This window comes from Homo sapiens, chromosome 7 (assembly GCF_000001405.40).
Source record: "Homo sapiens chromosome 7, GRCh38.p14 Primary Assembly".
Lineage (NCBI taxonomy): Eukaryota > Metazoa > Chordata > Mammalia > Primates > Hominidae > Homo > Homo sapiens.
In genome coordinates, this window is record NC_000007.14 from 82,313,203 (window position 1) to 82,339,246 (window position 26,044).

The 26,044-nt window shown below is 35.4% G+C and overlaps 1 protein-coding gene and 1 long non-coding RNA gene across 17 annotated transcripts in view; both read right to left on the reverse strand.

Annotated features, from left to right (window-relative positions):
• The window catches only part of CACNA2D1 (calcium voltage-gated channel auxiliary subunit alpha2delta 1), a 497,513-nt gene that overhangs the window by 366,759 nt on the left and 104,710 nt on the right, over positions 1 to 26,044 (reverse strand). For all 16 annotated transcript variants that reach the window (XR_001744873.3, XM_005250574.4, XM_005250572.4 and 13 more), the window contains exon 3: positions 21,933 to 22,049. Coding sequence is in view for 15 of the 16 variants with exons in the window: in XM_005250574.4 (XP_005250631.1) it covers positions 21,933 to 22,049 (117 nt within the window). In the remaining variant the exon portion in view is untranslated. The remainder of the gene's footprint in view (positions 1 to 21,932; positions 22,050 to 26,044) is intronic.
• On the reverse strand, positions 10,063 to 21,926 carry LOC107986813 (uncharacterized). Its single transcript, XR_001745254.2, has 2 exons — positions 14,398 to 21,926; positions 10,063 to 11,906 (listed from the first exon to the last, which is right to left on the reverse strand). It is a non-coding gene; the product is annotated as an uncharacterized LOC107986813 (long non-coding RNA).

Consider the following 26,044-nt stretch of genomic DNA (forward strand, 5'->3'; position numbering starts at 1 on the left):
GCTACCAATCTTTGATTAATATGTGAATCTTTGTGAAGATAAAGTTTCAAGTGGGAGACTAAAGGAAACCAAAAAGATTTCACCCTCAAATATATTTCTTTGACCTATTTTGAGACGGCTATTCAGAGGGCCTGCAGACAACAATAGCCCTAAAAAGCTGCCTTTCATTAAGATTTGCATCTGTTGAGAAAAATCTATATTGGTGAAGTAAACAACCAGGCTTTCTCAGAGGCCCTACTTATCTGCAGATCTCAGAAATTAACTCATCCACAAGTTATGCTATCCATTCTGTCTCAGAGATATTATCAGTGAAGTTTCATCTGCCTAATGAGACCACCTTTGTCCCATGCCTTCCATTCTCTCCTAGAGCCAGTCTTGCCATGCTCCAAGCTCCTACTCCTTCCATAACCTCAACATGGTATAAAAGCACCAACCAACTGGCCCTTTGAGTTTTCATATTCTGTATGACTTCTCTGCACATGTGTGCATGTTAATAAAATGTGTATGCCTTTTCTCCTTTCAATGTACCTTTTGTCGGTTTTCAGCATACCTTTAGAGGGCAAAGTGGAAACTTTCCCTTGGTTCTTTCAATATACACCAAAAATACAAATCATGGTTATTTATGGGTAATAGGATTTCGAGTATTTCTCATTCTCATATTTCCTACATTGAACATGTATATTTTGTAATTTAAAATATATTACTCCAAAATCAGCACTAAAAAATAAAATCATATTGCATATCATGTCAATGATTTAGATCAATCTTTTTTTAATGCAAACTACTGTAGTAAACATTCTTTTTGTACATTTTTACATATATCCAGTGCTTCTCTGGGAGAATATATACCTTTCTAAAAGAATCACATGAATAAATAATGCTTAAGCCATTTACTTTTTCAATCGCAATAATGTTTGGGTTTCTTTTATATCTGAATCCCAAAGGATCAAAGGTTGCTAGGGTAGATAAGTAAATACTTTGGTTTGCTTGATTTAATTTTTTTCTGTATTTGCTATACTGGCCATCTTAGCTCAGTTGAAAATTGAAGGAAAAAATGAAGTTATATTTGTCTTCATTAAGTTTTTATAGACACTAAAGGAACTCAACTTGTATTCACAATGCTGAGAGCATTTATTCTTCCAGTCAGCTGTATGTGTTGGTCATTATCGAATGTGAGAGAGCCAGAGAATATTGTTTTCATTCCATTCTTCCAAACACCAGGATAATGAAACTTCTGGCAAAAACAGTATTCTTATTTGTTCCTATAGTCAGCACAGCAAACAAATGTTTTAAATATCAACAATATGTGGGAAGAATTGCAAGAAAGTATAACATTAGTGAGGTGTGCTAACTATTAGTAATCTTACAGCTCCTGAGAGAATTATTTCACTCAAACGTTTGCATGCCACCTTTTCTATTTAAAAAATAATAAAATAAAATCTTATTTAATTTACATTGTTCATATTTGGATAAAAAATATTTACCAATTTTAATTGTGATTTTCAACAGCAGCCCTTCTCTCCGGACTAAAAAAAGACCCTGTCACTGTAGCAGCAGTAATAATGATATTTTAATATGATACAAAAATGCCTGAGATAAACTTATCCGTCATTATGCCAATGAAAATGTGATAATTCAAAGCAGATATGACTGCTGTTAACAGTGGCTTCAGCAACCTGTGTTTTACCACCCCATATCATATCATATTCCAGTGTTAAAGAAACAGGGACCAAAAACTTCATCTCTCCTGCTCTAAAAGTTAAGCATATTATCTTTTTTTTTTTTTTTTTTTTGAGACAGAGTCTCACTCTGTCTCCCAGCTACTCGGGAGGCTGAGGCAGGAGAATTGCTTGAAACCTGGGAAGCAGAAGTTGCAGTGAGCCGAGATTGTGCCACTGCACTCCAGCCTGGGTGACAGAGTCTCAACAACAACAGCAACAACAACAAAAAAAAGGAAATAACGTGTCGTGTCTCTTAAAGTTGTATCAATTGGATTTAGGAGGGCAAGAGAAGTAGGGAGAAAGGAGCATCAGTGTAGAGATACAGTGCATCTTAATTTGCAAAATAGCTGGTACCATATTTAAACAGTAGGGTTATTGAAAGACTAAGGAAAGAATAGAAACCATGATGAATTCAAAAAGCACAACTTTCAAATGATCATGTACAAAGATGGAAAGAAATACAATAAGAAAAAAAAGCAACAGCAGCAATTTTCTAAAACAATAAATGGTAAGTTGGAATAAATAAAAACAAGTTTTTCAGTCATCAAAGTAAACATCAATGGATTGAATTTTCTCATTAAGAGACAGAAATTTTCATATTGCATCAAAAATTAAAAGCTACATATTGCTTGAAAAGAACAGCACTAAAAGAAAGTTGAAAATGTTGCAAATAAAAAGAAAGGTATGCCAGAAAAAAAATCAGGTAAGATAACACTAAAAGACAAGGTGGTTTTTAAAAATTAACCTGCTACATGCAAATTAAAAATGTCATCCTCTACTGATAACATGAAGAAGGGGAGGAAATCAGAATTCTAGAAAAATAAATCCTGAATAATAGATAAGACAAACAGTATTGTATTTCACCACACAACCAATTCTACACACAGTGTAAATCAACTAATGCCCGCTAACAGTAGAATTAATCAAAATTTAACTTGATACTTTTTTCTTAAGAAGTTTTAGTTAATCACTGCTTACATTTTGCAAATACTGGGTTTGGCTAGAAATTAAAATTAATTCCTTAGATCAATGTCACCAGGTGTTTTTTTTTTAAATATTATTTGCTTTAAAGTATGGGAATTCTAGGCACCAAAAAATTCAACAAAAAAACCTTCAAAAATAAAAAATCTAATATGTATTTTACTTGACAAATGATAAGTTTGCTTATGTTTTAAAACCTATAATTATAAATTTTAAATACAATCACTAAGAATTCCTAAAAGACACAGATAATAAATAAGGTAGTTTTAATTATTTTATATAGTAACTACATAAGAATTTAAAATAACTGTTTTAACAGTATTCAACACTGTTCTAATAACTGACAGGACAGAAGTGTTCCTGAAGTCTCTCACTGAATAGCATTGCTTGTTTGTACTTGGGTGTATGTCCTTGATAACTCGATTATTTCCTTTCATTACTTACTGCCTTTATAAACATTAATAAAATTATTTCTTCTCTGACTGAATTTTTTTTAAAAATCAAATATTTTTACCCTTGCCAGTTCTAACTCTAATTCTCCTTTCTCTCACCACTCCCAAATTCTCACAAAGAGAACAATCCGGTTCCTTAAAATAAGACATGCTTATAAGATTTTTCCCTCTCTGATGAGAACCAAATATAATAGAATGATGTTCTATCTGAAAGAAAAGAAAACTAAAGCTATTCAATCAGTAGCTAACATATAAATCAAAATATCTGTATATTAGTCTGTTCTCATGCTCCTAATAAAGACATATCCAAGACTGGGTAATTTATAAAGAAAAGAGGTTTAATGGACTCACAGTTCCACCTGACTGGGGATGCCTCACAATCATGGTGGAAGGCACAGGAGAAGCAAAGGCATGCCTTACATGGTGGCAGGCAAGAGAGATTGTGCAGGAGAACTCCCATTTATAAAACCATCAGATCTTGTGAGACTGTCACTACCACAAGAACAGTTTTGGGGAAACTGCCCCCATGATTCAATTATTTCCACCTGGCCTCACCCTTGACACATGGAGATTATAACAATTCAGGGTGAGATTTGGGCGGGGACACAGCCAAACCATATCAATCTGATTCAGTAATACACTCTTAACACTAGAAAGTAAATCAGAAAAGGCTGTACAAATGTCATCAAAGCCATGTTAGGCAGACCCCAGTCTTTCACTGGTTAATGTTAGTTGAATATTACCGAATGAGTAAACATTAACTATACCATACATGTGATTCTGCATTTATATATAAGCTACCAAGAGTACCTAGAAGTCTTTTGGGGCTCACTGCTTCTTAAAATGCATACATTATTTTCTTTTTAAAATGCTGTCACTAAATTGAGAAGTAGGAAATTACTACTGTCACACAAACACAACAAAAATGTACACTGCCAGCTTCCTCTGTAATGGATGCCTACTTATGTGGCAATTTAAAACACAGGCAGATCATAGGGATAATTCCCGTGTGTGTGTACGGCTGAGAGGAAAAGTATGGCCTGCCTTGACAGAGACTGCTTTTAAGTCTTTAAACTGTCCTCCTTCCAGTATTTATTCAGTATGCCTTCTATGCAGCTGAAAAATGTTGTTTCAAATCAGTGAGCATGTCTAAAATACTTAAGGAGGAGCAGCTGAGAATCTTTGCGGTGACTAAAACCTAGTAACTTTCCTCAGGACAGGCATTAGGTACCACTTGCTGCTTCTTAATATGCTGATTTAGCCTCCAACAGTGACAGGGCAATTGGTGTGAAATGTCAACTAAGGACTGGAGACTACTATTTAGAAGAGAAATTTGATCATGGCAGCATAGCAACACCAAGCAGCCCTGATTTTCCTTGCCAGATGACTAGCAGACATTTGGCGTCATTTAAATTAAAGAAAGAGCAATCTCCAAAAGATAGCTTCATTTGCAAAATTATAAAGCTCCAATAAACAGTTATTTGGGGAAAAAGAATGACGGTGAATACATTAAACATCTGTAAATTTAGTGAAGAATGAAAATCCGAAGAGAGTTTTCCCAAGCTCTTTGTACTATACTAGATCAACTCAGCTGACCTCCATGGTTTACTTTGCCCTCTCATATGATGCCTCTCTCCTTTCTCCTTTAATTGTGTAAGAGGTCTTGTATTTTAACTATATACTTACCCTCCATTTCTCACTAGTTGTAATTAAAAGTTGGTTAAATAAGCATGCCTTATGCTTAGAACTTCAAATGATATACTTCACTTTTCAATTGCCTACAACCTATGCTTTAGAAGCTAGCAAAAATCACTTCTTGAAATACCAACAGACCAGAATGATTTTTTTGAAAGCTTGCTAGTCTCATTGCTAATTAAAAAAGTGAATGTCTGCATGGTATCTAAGCTCAAGTTCAGAAATAAAAACTATTCTAATTAATTTTGATCTTTATGCAACTACATATGCTGTAATATCTAGACCAGAGTTTCCCCAAAACACTCCTAAAATATACTCACTTATGAGTATAAAAGCCCCAGCACACTATGTGGCTTGCAGATACTCTAAAATTCTTGTTTTTCACACATAAAAAACTAAGTAATTACAGTGAGATTAACAAAAACTCATGGATGTTACAATCTCCATCTCCATTACCAAATTCACCACACATTTTATGTAAATACTTAATGCAAGTAAGTCTAGAGAATAAAAAGGCTAGACCCCTTCTCCTTTGTTCTCTCCATGCCTTCTTCTCTTTCAATCCTTCTCTCCTTTTACATAAATTGTAACAATTAAAATAAGCTACCATTATCACTTTTCTATACCACATCTGATGTAAAATAAAACAGTAATACATAATCTCATTTAGAAACAAAAATGCCAACCTAGAACTACATGACCTCAGATAATATACTTAAAACTTTTTCATTCTATACTTCTTGGCCTTATCATATCATGTAATAATAATGAGAAGACAAATAGGAAAGGCAATAGAAAGAGGAAGAAGAAGGGACAGAGGAAGAGGGAGAAGAAGAAGAGAAAGAGTAGGAAGAGGAGAAGTCAGAGAAAAGAGAATTAAATGGAAAAATCTGTGTAAAACACTAGGCAGAGTGCCTGACACATGATAAGTGCAAGGCAGAGTGAGGAGATATGCTGCCAGAAAGCTTGGGAATTAAATGGATCTGGATACAAATACATGGGCAAAATATCTCTATAAAATTGAGACTATCAATACCAAGTATAGAAGTATGTTGAAAGGATTAAATGAGTAAATACAAAAAAGTCCTTAGTACAGTGTCTAGTATATCAGAAGCACATAAAAAATTGTTATTAAGACCTTCTATTTTAAGGTCTCATATAAGATACTTGATATTTTTAGAACATTTTAATATTTAAACTAAAAACATAATTACTCTCTACTGAGAAATCATGAGGATTAATTTCATTTCAATGGATACAATTTTTGAATCAAAATACAGTTGTTAACAAAGACATCAAAAATTATACATTATATTCATCTTTTTATCTAAACTAAAAAATACCCATTTGAGAGGTAGAAATTGATATGTGCAGTCACTTAATGAAAATGAACATTTCTGCAAGAGTCAAACTTGTTACTATCAATGACAAGCAAAAATGGCTATTTGAAAATCCACATTTTAAAGAAATGTTCTGAGCACATAAATATAACACTTGATAATTTATTTAGTTATTTTTTTGTTTAAGAACCACATTATGTTGTTGTGCTAGAAAAAAAGTGGCACAGGCAGTAAGATATAGGGCAATAAATTCTCTCTAAACCCTCTTGTAGAAAATGAGTCATTATTATTTATTATTAGACCTTTAAGTTGACGGACCTAGAATTTCTCAGAAAAGACAGTGTAAACAATCAGGGGTGACTGGTTCACAATAGACCAACATTTATAGGAGTAGCTGTAATTGGGGAGTAATGAGTCCTGAGACTAAATGAATAAATTAACCAGAGAAGGAGTAGACAGTCTTTTGTAACTAATGTCTCAGCTGTCAAGACACAACTTGGTTTTTGCTCTTAACTGGGCCTTGACAGCGTCAGCTCCCGTAGAATACAAGGACTGCCAACAGCAGGAGCACTCATCCACACTGCGGCCTGTTGGCATGCTGCCTGTGGCTGGATAATACATGCAAGATAGAGCATATGAGCTGGTATCTGGAATCAGTAACTGCAACTCTGAGGCTGATTTTTTTTTTTTAAATAAATCTGGAAGACAGATGTTTGCCCCAACCAGCCTGTTAATTCTGAACTGATTATGTTGCCAACAACAAAGGCACTAATCTGCAGAGAAAAGTATGAGTTTTTGACATTATTATAATAATTAAAAATATATCTATCATTTAAAATTAAGTCCTACTTACAGAACCATATTTAACTTATTATACTGAGTCAAATGTAACTTGGTCGCTGTCATTTAAGTCTATTAGAAATTCTGTTATTTAAAAATAAACAAAAAAGAGAGAAGGAATTAATGGAAGAATTAAAGATTTCTATTTTGTTAAAAGGAAAACAAACAATAAATAATGCACCATCTGTGGTTTTGAGGGAGACAGGGTCTCACTTTGTCACCCAGGCTGGAGTGCAGTGGCACCATCATAGCTCACCACAGCCTTGAACTTCTGGGCTCGAGTGATCTTCCCATCCTAGTCTCCTGAGGAGCTGAGACTACAGGTACATGCCACCACACTTGGCTAATTTTTTTTTTTTTTTTTTTTGAGACAGGGTCTTGCTATATTGCACAAGCTGGTCTTAAATTCCTGGCCTCAAGCAATCCTCCTGCCTCAGCCTCCCAAAATGTTGAGATTACAGGAGTGAGCCACCACCTGACTCCCATATGCTGTTAGACACTACAATTTCACTTACATGACTTAAGTATAATAAAGCAATCAAAAGTTTTCTCATATATGTGTAAAGATGTGCTATAAACAGTATTCATATCACCCACATAAAAAATAAACTATCAGTAGGAGATAGCTAAATAAATAATACATTCACAAAATTGAATACTATAAAATTAGTAAACAGATTTTATATAAGTTAATGGCTTATATAAAGCCATTTATATATATATAAAGCCAAAAACTTATATAAAGATTTTATATAAGTTAAAGTCATCTATGACTTAATGAACCTTTTAGCTCTAGCTAAAAGCACATTGTTGAAAAGCACAGACATAAGTCAGACATACCTGGGTATAAAACTTCCTCTACCTGACACTTGAGAGTGAGATGGGTGCTGGGCGCAATGGCTCACGCCTATAACCCCAGCACTTTGGGAGGCCGAGGCAGGCAGAACATTCGAGGTCAGGAGTTCAAGACCAGCCTGGCCAACATGGTGAAACCCCGTCTCTACTAAAAATACAAAAATTAGCCCGGCATGGTGGTGCGCGCTTGTAACCCCAGGTACTCGGGAGGCTAAGGCAGAAGAATAGCTTGAACCTGGGAGGTGGAGGTTGCAGTGGGCCGAGATGGCACCATTTCACTCCAGCCTGGGTGACAGAGCAAGATTCTGTCTCGAAAAAGAAATAAAATAATAAAATAAAATAGAGTCTTACCCCCTCCTCAAAAAAAAGTGAGATGGCTTTCGCCTCAAAATGTAACAGATTACAGACTGTAAGAAGACTGTATCTTATCTTCAAACACAATAACATATCTTCCTCATAAGGTTATTCTGAAGATGAAATTTGATACTGTGTATAAAGCACTTCCCACAATGTCTGGCAATAAAGATGGCTCAGCAACTGAAAGCCATCATTATGCGCCAAAAACACTAAGTTGTGAGGAATTGATGATAGCTCCTACCATCCCCAACGCCCCCCATGCACATACATACAAAATGAGATATTCTTCTAAAAAGAATGCCAATCAAATTTTAGTGTACACAGGAGAGAGAAAAGAAAACATGTTTCAATTAGACAAGGACACAGATGTTAGGAATCATTTCTTAAAAAACAAGCTAAGTGGCCGGGCGCGGTGGCTCACGCCTGTAATCCCAGCACTTTGGGAGGCCGAGGCGGGCGGATCACGAGGTCAGGAGATCGAGACCATCCCGGCTAAAACGGTGAAACCCCGTCTCTACTAAAAATACAAAAAATTAGCCGGGCGTAGTGGCGGGCGCCTGTAGTCCCAGCTACTTGGGAGGCTGAGGCAGGAGAATGGCGTGAACCCGGGAGGCGGAGCTTGCAGTGAGCCGAGATCCCGCCACTGCACTCCAGCCTGGGTGACAGAGCGAGACTCCGTCTCAAAAAAAAAAAAAAAAAAAAAAAAAAAAACAAGCTAAGCAACAATAATGGGGTTTTACAATTGTGGAAGCTTAATCACTAAAAATATTTGAGAAAAGAACTGCCAACTCCCTTGCCTTGGTGGCTTAGACATTCAACTGCAAGAGATGAAAAGACCAGAAAACTGAAATTCCAAAATTCCCAAATTCCATCAAGATTTATGATTTTGGGCCGGGCATGGTGGCTCACACCTATAAGGCCAGTACTTTGGCAGACTGAAGTGGGAGGATCCCCTGAAGTCAAGAGTTTGAGACCAGCCTAGGCAAAACTGGAAGATCCTGGCTTTACAAAAAAAAAAAAAAAAAAAATTAAAATTAGCCAGACATGGTAGCATATGTCTCGCTACTCAAGAGGCCAAGGCAGGAAGACTGCCTGAGCCCAAGAGGTCAAGGTTGCAGTGAGCCATAATAGCGCTACTGCACTCCAGCCTAGGTGACAGAATGATACCCTGTCTCAAAAAAATAATAAAAATAAAATTTAAAAAGATTTATGATCCATGATACTTTAATTAAAGTGACAGAGCATTTCATCATTCTAATGATAAATCGTATCAGGAGATTTTTTAAAGAATCATAGAAATCTTATCTTGCGAATGCAGTTTTTGACTTTAGAAGCTTTAAACAATTATGAAGAACAGATGCAAAGAACACCTGTGTATATAAAAAAGCCAGGATGGGTTTGGGCATCTCACAACGGGCTTCTACCTTCATGTCATTCAGTAAAAGTTAGCAAATGAATTTACAGAGGAAGGTTTAGAGTTTATTTCATTCTGTGGGGAGATAATAAGGGGTTAACAAGGAAAAGGGAAAACTAAATATCAAGAGATTAAAAAACAAAGTTAACATTTAGGAATCAGAACACCACTTTTAGTCCAACTCTATAAATGGCTAAATGTTGTTTAATGTTACCAAACATTACTTGATCAGATTGTCTTTGAATTTATGGGATACCATGAAGTTCTCTTTAAAGATTCCATTATGTGAAATAAAGAGGTTGGCCTTGGATCAGCACTGTTTCTCTATATTTACTTTCACCCAAAACACTATTAACTAGCACATTCAGATCAGAGCATTTCTGTTGAGGCGAGCTTGCTATGTTGTTAAAAAAAAAAAAGAGGTGAAATGACATACGGATTTTTTTCTTTTTTTGCCTCACTTTGGGATTATCTTTCAACAATCATCAAGGATTTCACAGACTCTCAAGTCCCCAAGTAAAGTTTGATGACTATCATCATAGAAAGAACACTGTACAAGTAGCTGAGAATCCCAAGTTCTGGTTCTAGCTCTACCACTAACGACCTATGCGCAGGACCAGCCAGCTTTGGTGGGTGTGAGACCTGTGCAGTCAGACGAGGCTGACTGACTCAGTGAGGACTCCACATTCAGAAGGACCCCATGTTTGGTTTCATTCTCTGATGCTGCCATTTTGAAATTCTAATAATTTCTTAACAAGAGCCTCAAATTTACATTTTGTACTAGGCTCTACAAATTGTGTAGTTTTTGCCTGTGTGAGTTTTGCAAGCCACTTGAGCTAATTCTCATTTTGCTCAAAGTAATTACAAACCCAACACTCCCTTTCCCCCATGCTGCATTACCAGAACATAAATTTTACATTAGATAGTGCTTTCTGATCCTAAAGCCAACTCAAAGAATCTCATTTCCAAGAGATTTCATTTAGAAGACAGAGCCTATCACTGTTGCCCCAACCCTTTCCTTGTCTGAACCTTCCATTAAATAATTAGGTGCCCTCTACCATTAATTGTGCTTTCTATCTTAAAGGTATATTTGATTACCACATTTTTTTCAAAAGTGCCTTTGTTCAAATACTCATTTAGTGCTGACACTACTCCATGGAATGTGGGAGGAAAATGCACTCTCTAGCACTGAGAGATTTAAAACAGAAAGTGTGGTTGGCTGGGCATGGTGGCTCACGCCTGTAATCCCCGCACTTTGGGAGGCTGAGGTGGGCGGATCACTTGAGGTCAGGAGTTTGAGACCAGCCTGGCTAACATGGTGAAACCCGCATCTCTACTAAAAATACAAAAATTAGCTGGGTGTTGTGGTGGGTGCCTGTAATCCCAGCTACTCGGGAGGCTGAGGCAGGGGAATCCTTTGAACCCGGGAGGTGGAGTTTGCAGTGAGCCAAGATCGCGCCATTACACTCCAGCCTGGGCAACAAGAGCCAAACTCCAAAAAAAAAAAAAGAAGAAGGAAGGAAGGAGTTGTTTTAAAAAAAAAAAAACTTCACTGCTAACCTTTAAATAATACATTAATCAGAACAAAATGTTACGAAAATTAAAATGCTGAGTGCGGTAGAGAGTATAGCACAGTTACAGGTATATGGATCTGTCTCCTTAGTGTAATTCAAGAGGTCGTAAACACAGCACTTAGTGTTTCACCATCACTTCTGTTTGGCCCCAAATTCCTACCATTATAATTATTTTAGACTTAAAAATCCATAAAGATGCTGCTCCAGTGTGTAACGTAAGAGAGGAAATGTGATGGTGTATCTGGGGCTTTCCATTTACCACATTAACAAATGATATCAAGCAGGACAGGTATCTCCCACTTAAGCAGTAATCTGCTTCAGAAAAACCTGATGTTCTGAGTGAAAATTCTGATAGCCTATTATTTATTAAGTGGAAGAAAATAGAGCGTTTTTATATCAACCTAAACCCCTCACAACCAGCTTTTAACCACCTAAAGAAAACAGTAAAATAGACACTCACCAAATGCCAAGGTGCGTGGACAAATGTTATAAACCATATATTAAGGTGTAAAGGGCTACAAGCATCACTTCCTGCTCATACAATGAATAAGATGTTAACATACAGTGTCGTAGGCCCTACTTGGCCTTTCGCTGTCAGCAGAAAACATGCACATCTCCTTAGTTGGCACCTGCACTACATTTCAAGGCATCTCCACATGATTCTGATGTTCTACTAACTGTAATGTAAATCACATGTTATTTTGTTAAAAACATTGAGATTGGAAGATGTAAATGTAAGTAGGTGCCTTATAAGCATCAGCAAAAAGCAAAACAAGAAACAAAAACATCTTAGTGAGAGCTCAGTCTAGCCTGTGGAGATTGGATTTCAAAAATCAGGAGGCAATCCACTGGGCAACCATTCACTGGAAAAATATTCTTCAGGTTATGTCTGAATTTTATTCGGTAGCTAAACTAGCTAAACTACACTCTAGGTAGGTGTTACAAGCTGTAGGGCAAGCAAAATAAATGACGTTGCTGACTTTAAAAGACTTGAAAATAATGGTACTATGAGAGCCCAGTAGAGCATTAATATGGCTTTTTTAGTTATAATAAGTACATGCCAACTGGACAGACTGCTTTGATTTAACTGGACAAATGACAGACAAATAAATTTTGGCTAAGATTATTGAGATGCCATGGAGCTGAGAAACATGATGCAGCCACCTAAAAGTTAGATAACATAAACACAAGAATTCCAGACCAAATCTCTCACTCTATGTAAGATTTGGTGAAGTCATTTAATCTTTCTTAGTTTCAGCTATGTACTGTAAAGATTAGATGAGTTAATGTTGTAAGCTTTTAAACAAATGACAGGACACACAAGGGAACACCAAGTATTTTTGTAGATACAGCAGGTCCTCGAATAATGTCATTTTGTTCGATATTGTTTTGTTATAACGCTGATGAGAAAAAATGAAAATCAATTCCCGGCCAGAGCACTGTCTGTGTGGAGTTTGCATGTTCTCCCCATGTCTGGATAGGTTTCCTCTGGGCACTCCAGCTTCCTCCAGCATCCCAAAGATATGTACATTAGGTAAACTGGCATGTCTCAATTGCCCCATGACAAGTAGGTGTGGGTATGGGCATGAGTGCACTCAGTGATGTGATGATGTCCTGTCCAGGGTAGGTTCCCATCTTGCACCCTAAGCTTCTGGGAGAGGTTCCGGTCACCCAACACTCTGAACTGGGATAATTAGGTAAATAATTATCTTACTTGTTCATATTAATCTTTCTTAAATGTACGTATAGCTCACATTTATTTCAGTGTTTAATAACAGAAGTTTTTGGTGTTTACGTAAAAGCTTAGTGATATTTTTGTGACCAAGAATATGCCATAGACACTTCACATTTGCTTATATCAATTAGTCAGTGGGAAAATTGGTTTGTTATATGGCGTGTCATTTAAAGTCACAGTTTCCAAAAACCCATCAATGATGTTAAGTGAGAACTTACTGTATACACAGCTGGGTTTGAATTCTTTGCCAGCTGTGTAAGCTTGGGCAAATTATTGAACTTCTCCAGGCTTTCATTCTCCCATGTGCACAGTGAAAACAACTATATGTACTTTGCAGAACAGAAATAGTGTTAGAAATATATGGAAAGTGCCTAGCAAAGCATCTGGACCATAGCAGACAGTCAGTAAATGCTACTGATTAATTTGCCCCTTACTAGTAAAACTCCGAAAACTTTCACTCTTCTCCATCTAAGTAACCAGCTCATTGACTCATGCCTCTACCTTGTTTTTACCCAGAACACTTAACTTCTTAAATTTCTGTCCCTTACCACAACTTCTTGTTTCTCCACTGTTCCTTACAAACTTACACTTTATCCACATAAAAATGTCTACTACTTACTTGAACTCTTATTTCTTGACCATTATCAGATCCTATCTAACGTGATTCCTGGTTTCAAATACTTCAACTACCATTGACTATTCTCAAATATCCTTGATGTTTACAAAGTTTACTTTGCCAATCCTCAATCCTAGATGGATTCAACAGTCTTTTTCATTCTATTAAGTTTGTGCAAAAGTAATTGCAGTTTTCTACTCTTCGTATTGCGCCAAGCCATATTAGAGAAAGCTGATTTGATATGAATATAACTGTTACATTGAAAGGTGGGGCTCCATATAAAAAATGCCAACAGAAAACAATATTTCCTTTCCTCTCCTCTGCTTCTTTAAAATGAATTTTCTCTAGACCATCTTCCATAAAACTCATATTAAATCCTGAAAAAGTCTTAACATAGACATCAACTGATGGGATATACATTGTAATTGAGAGTTTGCCCAATTTTGTTCAGAGAAGCAGTGGCCTAGCTAAAACCACATTTCTTATCCCCCTTGCAGCCAAAGGTTGCCCAGTGAGATAGACACAGAAGTAACAGAGTGGGATTTCTGCAAATCTCTTGAGTTGCCTACCTACGTATATCTTATTACAGGAGGAAAAATAAATCCACACTCTGTTTAAATCACCCTTTTGTTGTCTTGTCTATTAATCATATTTGAACACAACATTATGCCTTTCAGGTTCCCTAATTTTTCCATTCACCATTGTATATAAAAGTGTTACTGCTAAAAGCAGTCTCAGTTAATCAATTAAAATATCTAGTCTGGAATAAAAATCAAATGTCTAAGCTTAATGTAAAATTCATTTAAAATCCCATTACCAGGTTAGTACTGCTTCAGACCAAGAAACTTCAGATGGAGAATGTGGTAGAGGTCTATGGCCACTCTCTGAGTTTTTCCTCCTGATTTCATCTTGACACTTCTTAGCAGCTCAAACACGGTGATTTCAGCAATGGCACTAAGAGAAAGTTGGCAATGGATGGCTTTTCTTGACTATAATTATGTGTTGTTACTCTCTGGGGCTGATCGATGTTCAACACTGACTTGTTCCCTTATTAAGATACTTTCCTAGTTGTTTGGAGGTACCCAGGACATTCAATTGCAATGTCATGCTTCTGAGGGTCATTTAAACCCCAGCCCCTCAGCTCCCATTTGACAGTGTATTTCTACCCTCTTTCTGCTAAACTAGTTTTGTTCCCGGAGGGAAGCCCTGTTGGGTCCTATCTGAGACCAGCTCCATCTCACTGCCTTGTTTTTATGTAAGTTTGTGCCCCTTGATGCCGTGTCTCATTGCCCTGTCACTGGGTAAACATGTCGAGCCTTAGCACTTCCCTTTTAACATCCACAGGCATGTATCAAATCCAAATAAATAAAAGTAATCTCAATTTTGCAAAACAATTAGTGGATTACCTAATCCCTTCACCACTCAGACTCAAAGGCCTGGATAATTTATACCCTCCAGATAGATTCTGGATTAATGGTCAAAATATGCATATCCACATAAACACACAGAGTTTTCAGAAAGCTCTTTGAAATTCATATGTAGCTTGGGCCTCATTTTTATTGGGCCTCATTTTTAGAACATGAGGGTGTTTTATATCTTCTGATTGTTCTCAGTGTTAGGAAGGCCCTAGATTTTATTCCTCAGTAATTTTACTTACCCATAATAGACTCCTTTCACCTTTTCTTACTTTGCTCTCCCAAATCTTCAACAAAAACTGTCTTTATTTATATCTAATAATATTCCTTCTGTCCCAAGTGAAATATTCCGCCATCTTTTCAAAGAAAATTGCATGACCTCGATCTTCTCTGTCTGCTTTTTCTGGAATCATCCTTCTACATTCAGACTATTTTTTCTTATTTTCAAATTTCATGGATTTCTGCTTTTCTAGCTATAAGCATGCTTATATGTCCTCCAGTCTCAAAAATAGACAAGAAAGAAATACATTCTTTAGTAGTACTCCACATTTTCCTTCACTGTCCTACCAAACTTCATGAAAATCCAGATAAATTTCTTGCCAATGTCTCACTTTCCAATAACTCCTTAACACTACAGTCTTTATTCTGTTCCAGTATATTCTATTGAATCTATTCTCACAAAAGTAAATCAATGACCCCTAATAGCCAAACATGATAAATTTTGTATTCTTCTTTGAGTCTCTAAAGAATTTCAGAATTCCTTCCTGGATCCCCTTCTCACTTCTTTGTATCTAATTTTTCTTGAGTTTCTTTCCACATTTTTTAGTTAAAATCCCTACAGATAAAGACCAGAAAGCTACATTTTTCTAAAATGTTACTGGCACTGCTGACAAATAGAAATGATATAGAATGACTGGCCTAAGAGTTAAAGAAAAAAAAAACTATTTGGTTAAATAACAATCATCTAGCACTTCCAGGAAAACAAAAACAAAACTTACTTTAAAAATCACTTGAAAACATTTGTCATGTTCCTTTTTTTGTTATCTAATCATAAGCTCAATATCAAGGTTGAATTAAGAGTTGGAGTATATTACAGTATTTAAAGCTTCAAAATAGATTGGAGCAGCTTTAATTAAAGTTACCAGGACAACCAGAGGGAGACAGAATATGCCATAATTGGAAAATGTCACCAGAAAAATTTGTTTATTATAACCTTGATCCTATTTTCTTTGAGCAAAATGCCTAGAGACCTTCATTTACTGAGTAGATCCCCTTGGCTGGGCTGGTTGGTGAACAATGAGACCACAGATTTCATTTATCTCCATCTCTCAGAAGGCCGCATTGGAGGTTGGATTGCTTTGTTGAAAAGCTTTCTCCTGTAAATTGTTCATTAACACTTGCAGATATTTCAGCCTAGTTCAAGCTGAAATGTATGTTCATAATAATGTTAAATGATTATATCTTTTTTGCTTCAAAACATTGTTTGATTTGAGATTGCTTAAGAATAATCCAATGATATTAGTTATATAATCATTGCAGGGAGCCAGTTCCTGAGATATAGACGTAGCAAATGTCAGAAAAAAAAGTCATTTAGCAGACACATCTTGGAAATAAAATAGTTCAAATTATGAATGTGGGTTTAGAGGGGAACAAACTGGATTTTAGACAGAAGTCATAAAGTTGAATTCTACCACTACCTCATGCTATCTACACAGTCTTGGATAAGAACATTGGTCTTCTGAATTTCCTCATTTATAAAATAAGAATGTATAAATGTTTAATGTGTCTACTTCACAGAGTTTCTGTAAGGGCCTAATACATAAGAGTCATCAGAATCATAACATGATTTTATATAGTAACAAGCCCCCACCCCCAACAAAAAAAAAGCAAAATTGCTATCAAAGAGATAGCAACTAAAAGGTTTTGATATCGTTTTATCTTTCAGCTCTTCATAAGGCTGGTAGATGGAGCTGATCAAAAGACAAAAGCACAAATGAGTGTAAAATAAAGTTGCAATAAGTAGTTTAGAGTCAAACATATAAACAAAAACAAGCTAGCACATAAGGCAATAAGTTAAATTGACTTTTTATTCAAAAATATTATAAAAGATAGGATTAACAATTTAATCTTCAAATACATAAAATCTGTGTTCATGTATGCACAATAACAATTACTGCAGATACTAAAAAGCAATAATTTCACCAAAAAACCCTCCACTTTTTAACTTCCTTTTTTCAAAAACCTGAATTATCAAAGACTGTTAAGTAATTTCTTTAGTAGGCTTATAAGAAAACAACCAGCTACATTTATTTTTCTTTCACAGTGTTTACATTTATATTTTCAAAGATATCTTATGTTTACTGAAGAATAATGAAGGTTTTAAAATTTTCCAAACTCAAATAAAAATGAAAATTGTTTAAATACCATATATTTTCTTTCACTAAATCATTCTTTTGAAAATGGTTAATTGATACAGGATTCACTGAAAAATTAATAGCCTTCCAGAATATTCTATTATCTAGATCATCGAATGCTTATTCAGCATGGATGAATAGAACTTTACAAAATACTACTTAGCTTCATTTCTTCCTTTGTATAATTATACACTTCTTTAGGTCAAAGGATGTATTTATGTAATAAGTAGGAATGTAGATCTTGAAGCCAGACACACCTGAATTTGAATTTCACAATCAAATTCACATTCAAATTTCACATTCTTGCTGCTCAAAGTATAGTCTTTGTACCAGGAGCATAAGCATTACCTTATGCTTGGTGGCTTATAAGAAATGTACTATCTCTGTCCTGATCTACTGAATAAAAATCTGCATTTTAACAAGAGCCACGGGTGATCTGCATGCATATTAAAGTTTAAGAAGCACTGGCAAACATTACTTATTAGATATATTTCCTTGGGCAAGTTTCAGGAACTCTCAAAGTCCCAGTTTCTTCATTGAAAAATGAGACTAATAATGGTGTCTCTACCATAGTATTATTATGGGAAATAATTAGATAATGCTACTTAGTAACCACTCAATAAAGCCTAACTGGTATTAAATTTTATCATCTACCTTAGATTTGTATATTCATGATGTTTTCCACTGTATTTACCTATAAAATTACATTAGTGTCCCACCCAGAAGAAATAAAGCTCCTTTAATCCAGATGTCTCCCTGAGTATAAGCCTACAACTAAAATAGAAGCAAATTAACAATGCCATCTTGCATTCATTTACAATACAATGTAGCATATGTTCTTCATTAGCCTCAAAATATTTCTCTTTGAAATAATGTTTTATATTTTTGTGGAATCAAGGAAGTTAAGCAAAGAATTTAGTTTGAAAACAAACATGAATCTGTCTCCCTGAAATAAAATTGAACTATTCTACACTTAATTAGCCATTGTGTCTTCAGTATTCTGTCATCATGTGCTTAAGATATTCTACTGATCCCTCACAAGACTCAAATAATGCACCAGGTGTCTTGAGCTTCCATTCCAAATGAGAAATAAGAAAGAAAGTCTCAATAGAATTCTATTTTAATCCAATTAAGGCAAGACACACTATTTCATTCCACAACCTTTTTTAAGAGACTATGATGTCCAAATTACCTGCTTCCTACATCCAGAAGAAAAATGTAGACTGATAAAATCAATATAAATCGAATCATTTTCCACTGTCACCTGAATATTAATCACTTCAGTAGATAGCACCTTATTTTTATTAGATAAGTTTTTATTACAAACATTTACTTAAATAAAAAAGGGTATTCTCTCTCCAAAATTGAAGATAATAATGTTTTCATTTTCCAGTAATGAAAGTTTATCTTCCTATGAATTACTCAATTACTATTTTTATTTATTTATTTACTTATTTTTATTTTTTTGAGACGGAGTCTTGCTCTTTCGCGCAGGCTGGAGTGCAGTGGCATGGTCTCAGCTCACTGCATCCTCTGCCTCCCGAGTTCAAGCAATTCTCCCTGCCTCAGCCTCTGGAGTAGCTGGGATTACAGGCACCTGCCACCACACCCAGCTAATTTTTGTATTTTTAGTAAACACGGGGTTTCACCCTGTTGGCCAGGCTGATCTTGAACTCCTGACCTCAGCTCCCACCTCGGCCTCCCAAAGTGCTGAGATTACTGGCATGAGCCACTGCATCTGACCTCAGTTATTATTTTCAATGAAATGTTTCAACCTCTAGCAACATGGTGTAACAAAAATTCCAACCAACATACCTGCTACACTACAACAATATCTTGGATATTTGAAGAAGCATAATATAAAGAAAGAAACGAAGCATAGAAATAAAAAAGAAATATAAAGAAAGAAAGAAAGAAAGAAAGAAAGAAAGAAAGAAAGAAAGAAAGAAAGAAAGAACGAACAGAAAATTTTTGAGGGTCAAGATATTTATAAAAGATAGTAAACAAAAAAACCTGAACAATGAGTATTAAGCAAACAGGAAATTCAGAGTTGTATTGAGATAAATATCCATAAATGTACTGAAGTCTACACAATAAGAGGAACCAGGCGGGGTGCAGTGGCTCATGCCTGAAATCCCAGCACTTTGGGAGGCCAAGGCAGTAGGATCACTTGAGCCCAGTAGTTAAAGGCTTGCCTGGGCAACATAGGGAGACCTCATCTCTACAAAAAATTAAAAAATAGCCAAGTGTGGTGGTACATGCCTGTAGTCCCAGCTACTTGGAAGGCTGAGGTGGGAGGGCTGCTTGAGCCCAGCAGGTCGAGGCTGCAGTAAGCAGTGATTGTGCCACTGCACTCCAGGCTAGGCAATGAAGTGAGACGCTGTCTCAAAAACAAACAAAGAATAAGAGGAGCTAAACTGAAGCTCCAGCATTATATCTAACAAAAGATGTATAAGAAGTTTATGAAAAAAATTTTTAAAGTTTATCAAATGGTATAAAATACTGCTAAATAAGAGATACTATTTATAAATAGAAAGACAAAATATAATAAAGATATCAATTCTTCTCAATTTGGTCTGAATCAATATAATACAAATCAAAATCCCAGTAGACATTTTCCTGGATAATTATATGCCAAATCTAAAATTTAGATAAAAGGTAAAAGTTTAAGAATACTCAAGATTATTCTGAAGAAGAATATAGTGAGGGACTTAGCCTATGTATTTAGTCTGTTCTCACATGGCCAATGAAGACATACCCCAGACTGGCTAATTTATAAAGGAAGGAGGTTTAATTGACTCACACTTCCACATGGCTGGGAAGGCCTCACAATCATGACGGAAGGCAAAGGAGGAGCAAAGTCACATTTTACACAGCGACAGCAAGAGAACATGTGTAAGGGAATTCCCCTTTATAAAACCATCAGATCTCATGAGACTTACTATTACGGGAACAGCATGGGAAAGACCCGCCCCCATGATTCAATTACCTCCCACCACATCCCTCCCACAACACGTGGGAATTATGGGAGCTACAATTCAAGATGAGATTTGGGTGAGGACACAGCCAAACCACATCAGCCTACTAGATATTGAGCTGGACAACTGGAGTTTACTAGGGGAAGGCAAACTAATTTATAAATGCCCTAGAAAAATTCCTTGGAAAAAATAATTTGAAATGCAGACTAAAATTATATACTCATATAACTTGCACGTGGACTAAACACATAAATGCAAAAGACAAAGCTTAGAATCATGGAGAATGAAATAAATTATGTGTATAACCTCAGGTTAGCCAAGGTTTTCTTAAAGAAAACACTCTACAATACTAATAATTAAAAGAAAAGTTGACTTTGCAATAAAATTAAGATGTTTGCATCATATATAACTAAAATGAATTAGCATCAGGAATACATAACCTACAAATCAATTTTTTAAATGTACAAAAAAATTTCACTGAAGAGGAAACAAGAAAGGTAAATGAATATACAGCAAGATGTCTCCCTCATTAGTGACAAGCAGAGGTAACATTTACACCCATTTGATTGCCTATAATTAAGAAGTGTAACACTTCCACATGTCGGCCAGAATATGTATCAATGTGGGCTCATATATAACTAGTGAAGGTCTGAATTGATACGATTATTTTGGAAAACAATTGTCATTTTATAAAGCTGACTGCGAATACCCTACAATCTAGCAATTCTACTCTCCTGTATTGACCCTACAGATATTCTTACACATAAGTACTAGGAGACTTGTTCAAGAAAATTCAGCAGCACTATTCATAATAGTATCCATCTGGAATAATCCAAATAATAATTTACCCACCTACAGAGACTAAATGAAGAAATTGAGATACATCCTCATAAAATATTTAACTGAATAAAATGAATTAAATCTAAGTGCAAACATACATATAAATCATACAAACACAATGTTGATGGAGAAAACCAAGTAGCTGAAGATTACATACAGTGCAATATGAATTTGATAATGCTAAAAAGTAAGCAAACTAAAGAATAACTTGTTTAGCAAAGCATTTTTGTGAGGGAAAACTATTTTTAAAAAGAAAAAAAATGGTAACTTGAATATCTAGCATTTTGGCCACCTCTAGCAGAGAGGAAGGGTGATGGAATAAGAGACTATACAACTAAAGAGGATGATAATATTCTGGGTTTTATGTTGTGTAAACATGTTCAATTATTATTATGTATCATGATGTACATATGGATTTAAACATGTTCAATTTATTATTATGTATCATGATGTACATGTGGATACATATACATATAATCAATTAAACACAGATTATTAAAATATAATAGTAATATAAAATAAACATAATTAGAAATATTTTGGGGTTTGCATTTAAACCATGATATCTCATTTTTTATGAACATATCAGATGAACACAGTTACTAAGAAGAAGAACGCATACCAAAACCCCTCAATAGAGCATGAAAATTAAATAATAGATAAGTAAGGAAAATAATAAAATGAGCAGATCCAATTTAAACTCACCACCAGGGCTTTAGATCTGTTGCTCAGAAGTTTCTCAATATCCCTGGCTGCAATTTCTACCAGCTGGCGTGCATTATTTGGTTCCACAGTATACAAATCTTGATATTTCTCATAAATCTGTGTGAAAGAAAAAAAAAACTAGTAAGAACAATAGTTACTTATTTGGCTTACAAGTTCCCATTGGAATGTATTTAAAACTATAAACAACTGATTAGAAACACCACCCTGTTCTTTATCTTGATCTTTTTGGAGTTTGAGTGTGTCAGGAAAAAATATGTAAATATAAATTTGCTCTAGGACCACCAGCTTGCCAAAATATAGGTTATGTTAACAGGTTGTAAAACATCTTGTACCACAGTGGTTTGTACATGCAATTTTGAGGCTTGATGCTGCACTCTCCAATCTCGAAACTGGGTATTATCTGTCATCAGCATCGTAAGAGAAAGGGTAGCCATCCTAGACAACAGAAGGCGAAATGGAGCATGGGAGGTCAAACCTGGAGGAGTGTGGAAAACAAAGGCAGGAGGAAGGGTTATGTGCTACAGAACGGAGAGAGAGAGAATACATATAAAGCCCCTGCTAATATTCATCTAGATAACAAGAGGAGCTTAGGAGACAGTTCACATATAGAAGAGATGAAGGTCATTAAGGTTTTGGTTAGAACGGTAATGGAGTATTTTTTTTAATCAAAGTAAATGTTGCTGTTAGTTTTTAATCACTGAATTAAAGTATACTGAATTTAAGCTAGGTGCCAAAAGAAAAATTTGACTACCTTTCTGGCTCACCTTAGTGTCTATGGAAGGATTTCCCCAGAGTGGCATAAGTTGCACCTGTCTTACACAGCCTGTACACACTCAGCAGGAGAGGAAGAATTAAAGAAAGGGGGGTTGGAGGGGAAGCAGTCACAGTGTTTGTGGCTGGAGGGCTGAGATGAGAAGGAAATCCCTCATGCATCCAACAGATGGGGTGCACATGCATGACTAAACCATCTTTGAAAGCCAGGACCTGGCAGGTTTTTACTGTCTTATGAGAAGTGAATCCAGGCACATACAGGAATCAGTTCAACCCTGCTTTTTTCTGGCACAACTCCAGCATTCTGCTTTACTACCAACAGGTTCTACAGTATGATCCCAGCTGCGCACTGATAACACTGGTGAATACTGGCTTCAAATGGACACAGATACATACTAACATTTATTGACCACAGAGCATATTAGTTTTACATGGACTTATAATTTTTTATTTGAAATAAAAATTAATTTGAAATTAAAATTTATTGGAATTAAAATTAATATTTTGTAAAGATTTAAATCAATTTTTGCTCCTAAAAGTGACTTATTCACACTATGAGATTTTACCATACTCATGTGAACTTTGAACTTATAAGTTTTCACTCAAAGTACTCAAGGCACGTTAATTTAGTGATAAAATCTCCATATTTGGATTCATCCAGGAGTCCTGCATTTTACTGGATTGCTTATGCTTTCTGCTAAGAAGCAGATTATTGAATTCTGTTTTTTAAAGACCCATATCATCCATGAAGAACTTCATCCAATGCAAAGCTTTCTCTTTCATTTCAGACTAAGATAAGATTTAGGAACATTGATTAATTGATTTGAGGTACAAACAGATAAACCACAACATCACTTTAATTGATCCAGGATATGTAGTTCTTTGCAGTAAAACCAATAGAGCTAATTGGTGTGAAATGTAGTGTGCATTGTACCATTAATACCTTGTTCATTTCTCTATGCAGTCTAACCTCCTTCCTGTGGTATAGGGAATACAATATGCTTCATAGTTGGTGGGGATTAGTTCAGATGTGCAATCTATACTTCAGGTAATATCATTTATTAAGTCTCTACATACATGTGCCGGACATATTAATTACTTGGTGCTTTAAGGAATAAATAGATTATAAATCAGCAGAAACTATTTCAAGCATATAAGTATCTTCTCAAATATATAAATTTATATTCTCTCAAATTTTCCTTTTAGGATAATTTTTAAATACTTAACAAAAACAAGATGTAACTCACAAATAAATGTGAAATAAATTAAGTCAAGAAGTTAAAGTCTAGAACCCCTAGTGTAAATATCTGGCTGTATTATTTTATATATAAAACCACAATTGAATTGCTTTCTTTGGTAATAAAAATAAATTAAAATTATATAACTGCCCGCCAAAAAAACTAGCTCTTGCTTCTGGTTCCAAAGACTACAATCATCTTTGTTGTCATGACAGCTATTGCAAAGCTCTCCTGATATATGTTTAGTAAATAATTTTCAGAATAGAAGGTTTCATATGGATTTTTATGATCACACAATATATTTTCATAATATGTGTATATTTCTAACTCTTTCCATCACTAAGACATATTTCTACAATATTTCATATATTAATATTTCAAACATATCTTGAGGTATCTTTTCCTCTTCTTCAGTTTACTGTTTTGTAAATAATTATCTGCTTTGCCATTTTGTCCAATTTCTTTCTCGAAGGAAAAACAGCATGGTGGAAATAATACGAGTTTTTGGCACCAGACAGAGTTACATTTCAATCCTGTCAACTCTTCACATGCTGTGCAAAACTGGCCTTCGTTTTTTCTCTACTAGAAAGAATGTAGCATATAGACAGACTTAAAAACAGGATACTTTTCCTCCTGATACACTCACATGCTTTAGTTTCCCTAAAGTTGAAGTTCTCCTGCTGCCACCCTGACATAAGTCTTAACAAAAAGAATACTTGTCACCTGTACATTCTTTCTTTCCTACAATCTTAACCAACTGGCTTTAATGTACTTTCATTGTAACATTCAAAGACCAAGTTTCTCTGTGATGACAACCTAGATTATGGTTTGTGAGATAGCCAAAAAAACCATAATCTATGTTCTAAATATCTTTGTTCTAATTAACATATGTTAATTATGCTAATCAGCTATGTTAACATAATATATGTTCTAAGTCACTTTGCTCTAATTAAGTCTACAGTTCCAAGATAATCATCACAATTATACATTTTAAAATAACTTCAAATTTAATATCTAAAAAATGATATTACTCAATGATATAATTGCTTAACAAAATTCCTAAAGAAACCTCTTGGAAATCATAATACAGATGCCCCAGAAATATTTACTCAAAACTAAATATGCTTCCAAACTTTTAGAGGACGTAAAAATTTTTTAAATTTTTTATTTAAAAAAAAAAGTTTTTTAGAGACAGATCTCACTTTATTGCCCAGGCTGGGGTGCAATGGCTATTCACAGAGGCAATCCTAGCACTCCTGGTCTCAGGTGATCCTCCCATGTCAACCTTCCAAGTAGTTGGAACTACAGGTGCATGCCACTGCACCCAGCTAGATCATTATTAGCAATCAATGTAGGCAGCTACTCTATATCACTTTCAGGTGTTTCACATACATTATATTATTTATTCACTTTAAGAAATCTATAATATACATTTAATTAACCATTGTATTAGTGAGAACAATGGGATTCAGGCTTCAGAATATCTGGAGGGAGTCTGAATCACACTTCATCATAAAAGAGCAAACCAATGTCTAGAGCAGCCGAAGGTGAGTGGTAATGTGGCATATTTAGGCAAAGTGAATCTTCAATGCCATTCTATGTCCTAAATCTTCCTTGGCTTCAGCAGGACATGGAAATTTAAGAAAGCCCTTTGAAATGAGCAAGAAAGGAACAAGGGTCGGTATGTCTGCTAGGAGATAGGCTCCGTGCAGGATCAAAGAAATTCTAATGCAGAGGCTGAGAGATGGAAAGTGGGAAGCAGACACCCAGCTGAAGGATAATGGTAAAGAACCACCTACAGCTGAGGGGCCCTAAGCAGGTTGAGAAGATTGGCCAAGTTCTAAGTAGCAGTCAAGTTCACTATCTATATCAAGAGAACAAAAGCAAGCAAATACACCAGATACCTTGTCATATAAGTTTCTCCCTGCGCCCAGGCATGGAGAAACAAAGTAAAGAAGATTAGAGAATATAGAAAAAGAGTTAGAACTTACTAAATCCTTAGTTGACCACAAAAGGCTGTTTTGATCTGAAAGAGGCTAACCTTCAAGTGATGAGATTAATTTTTCCCTCTCCTAGGAAAGA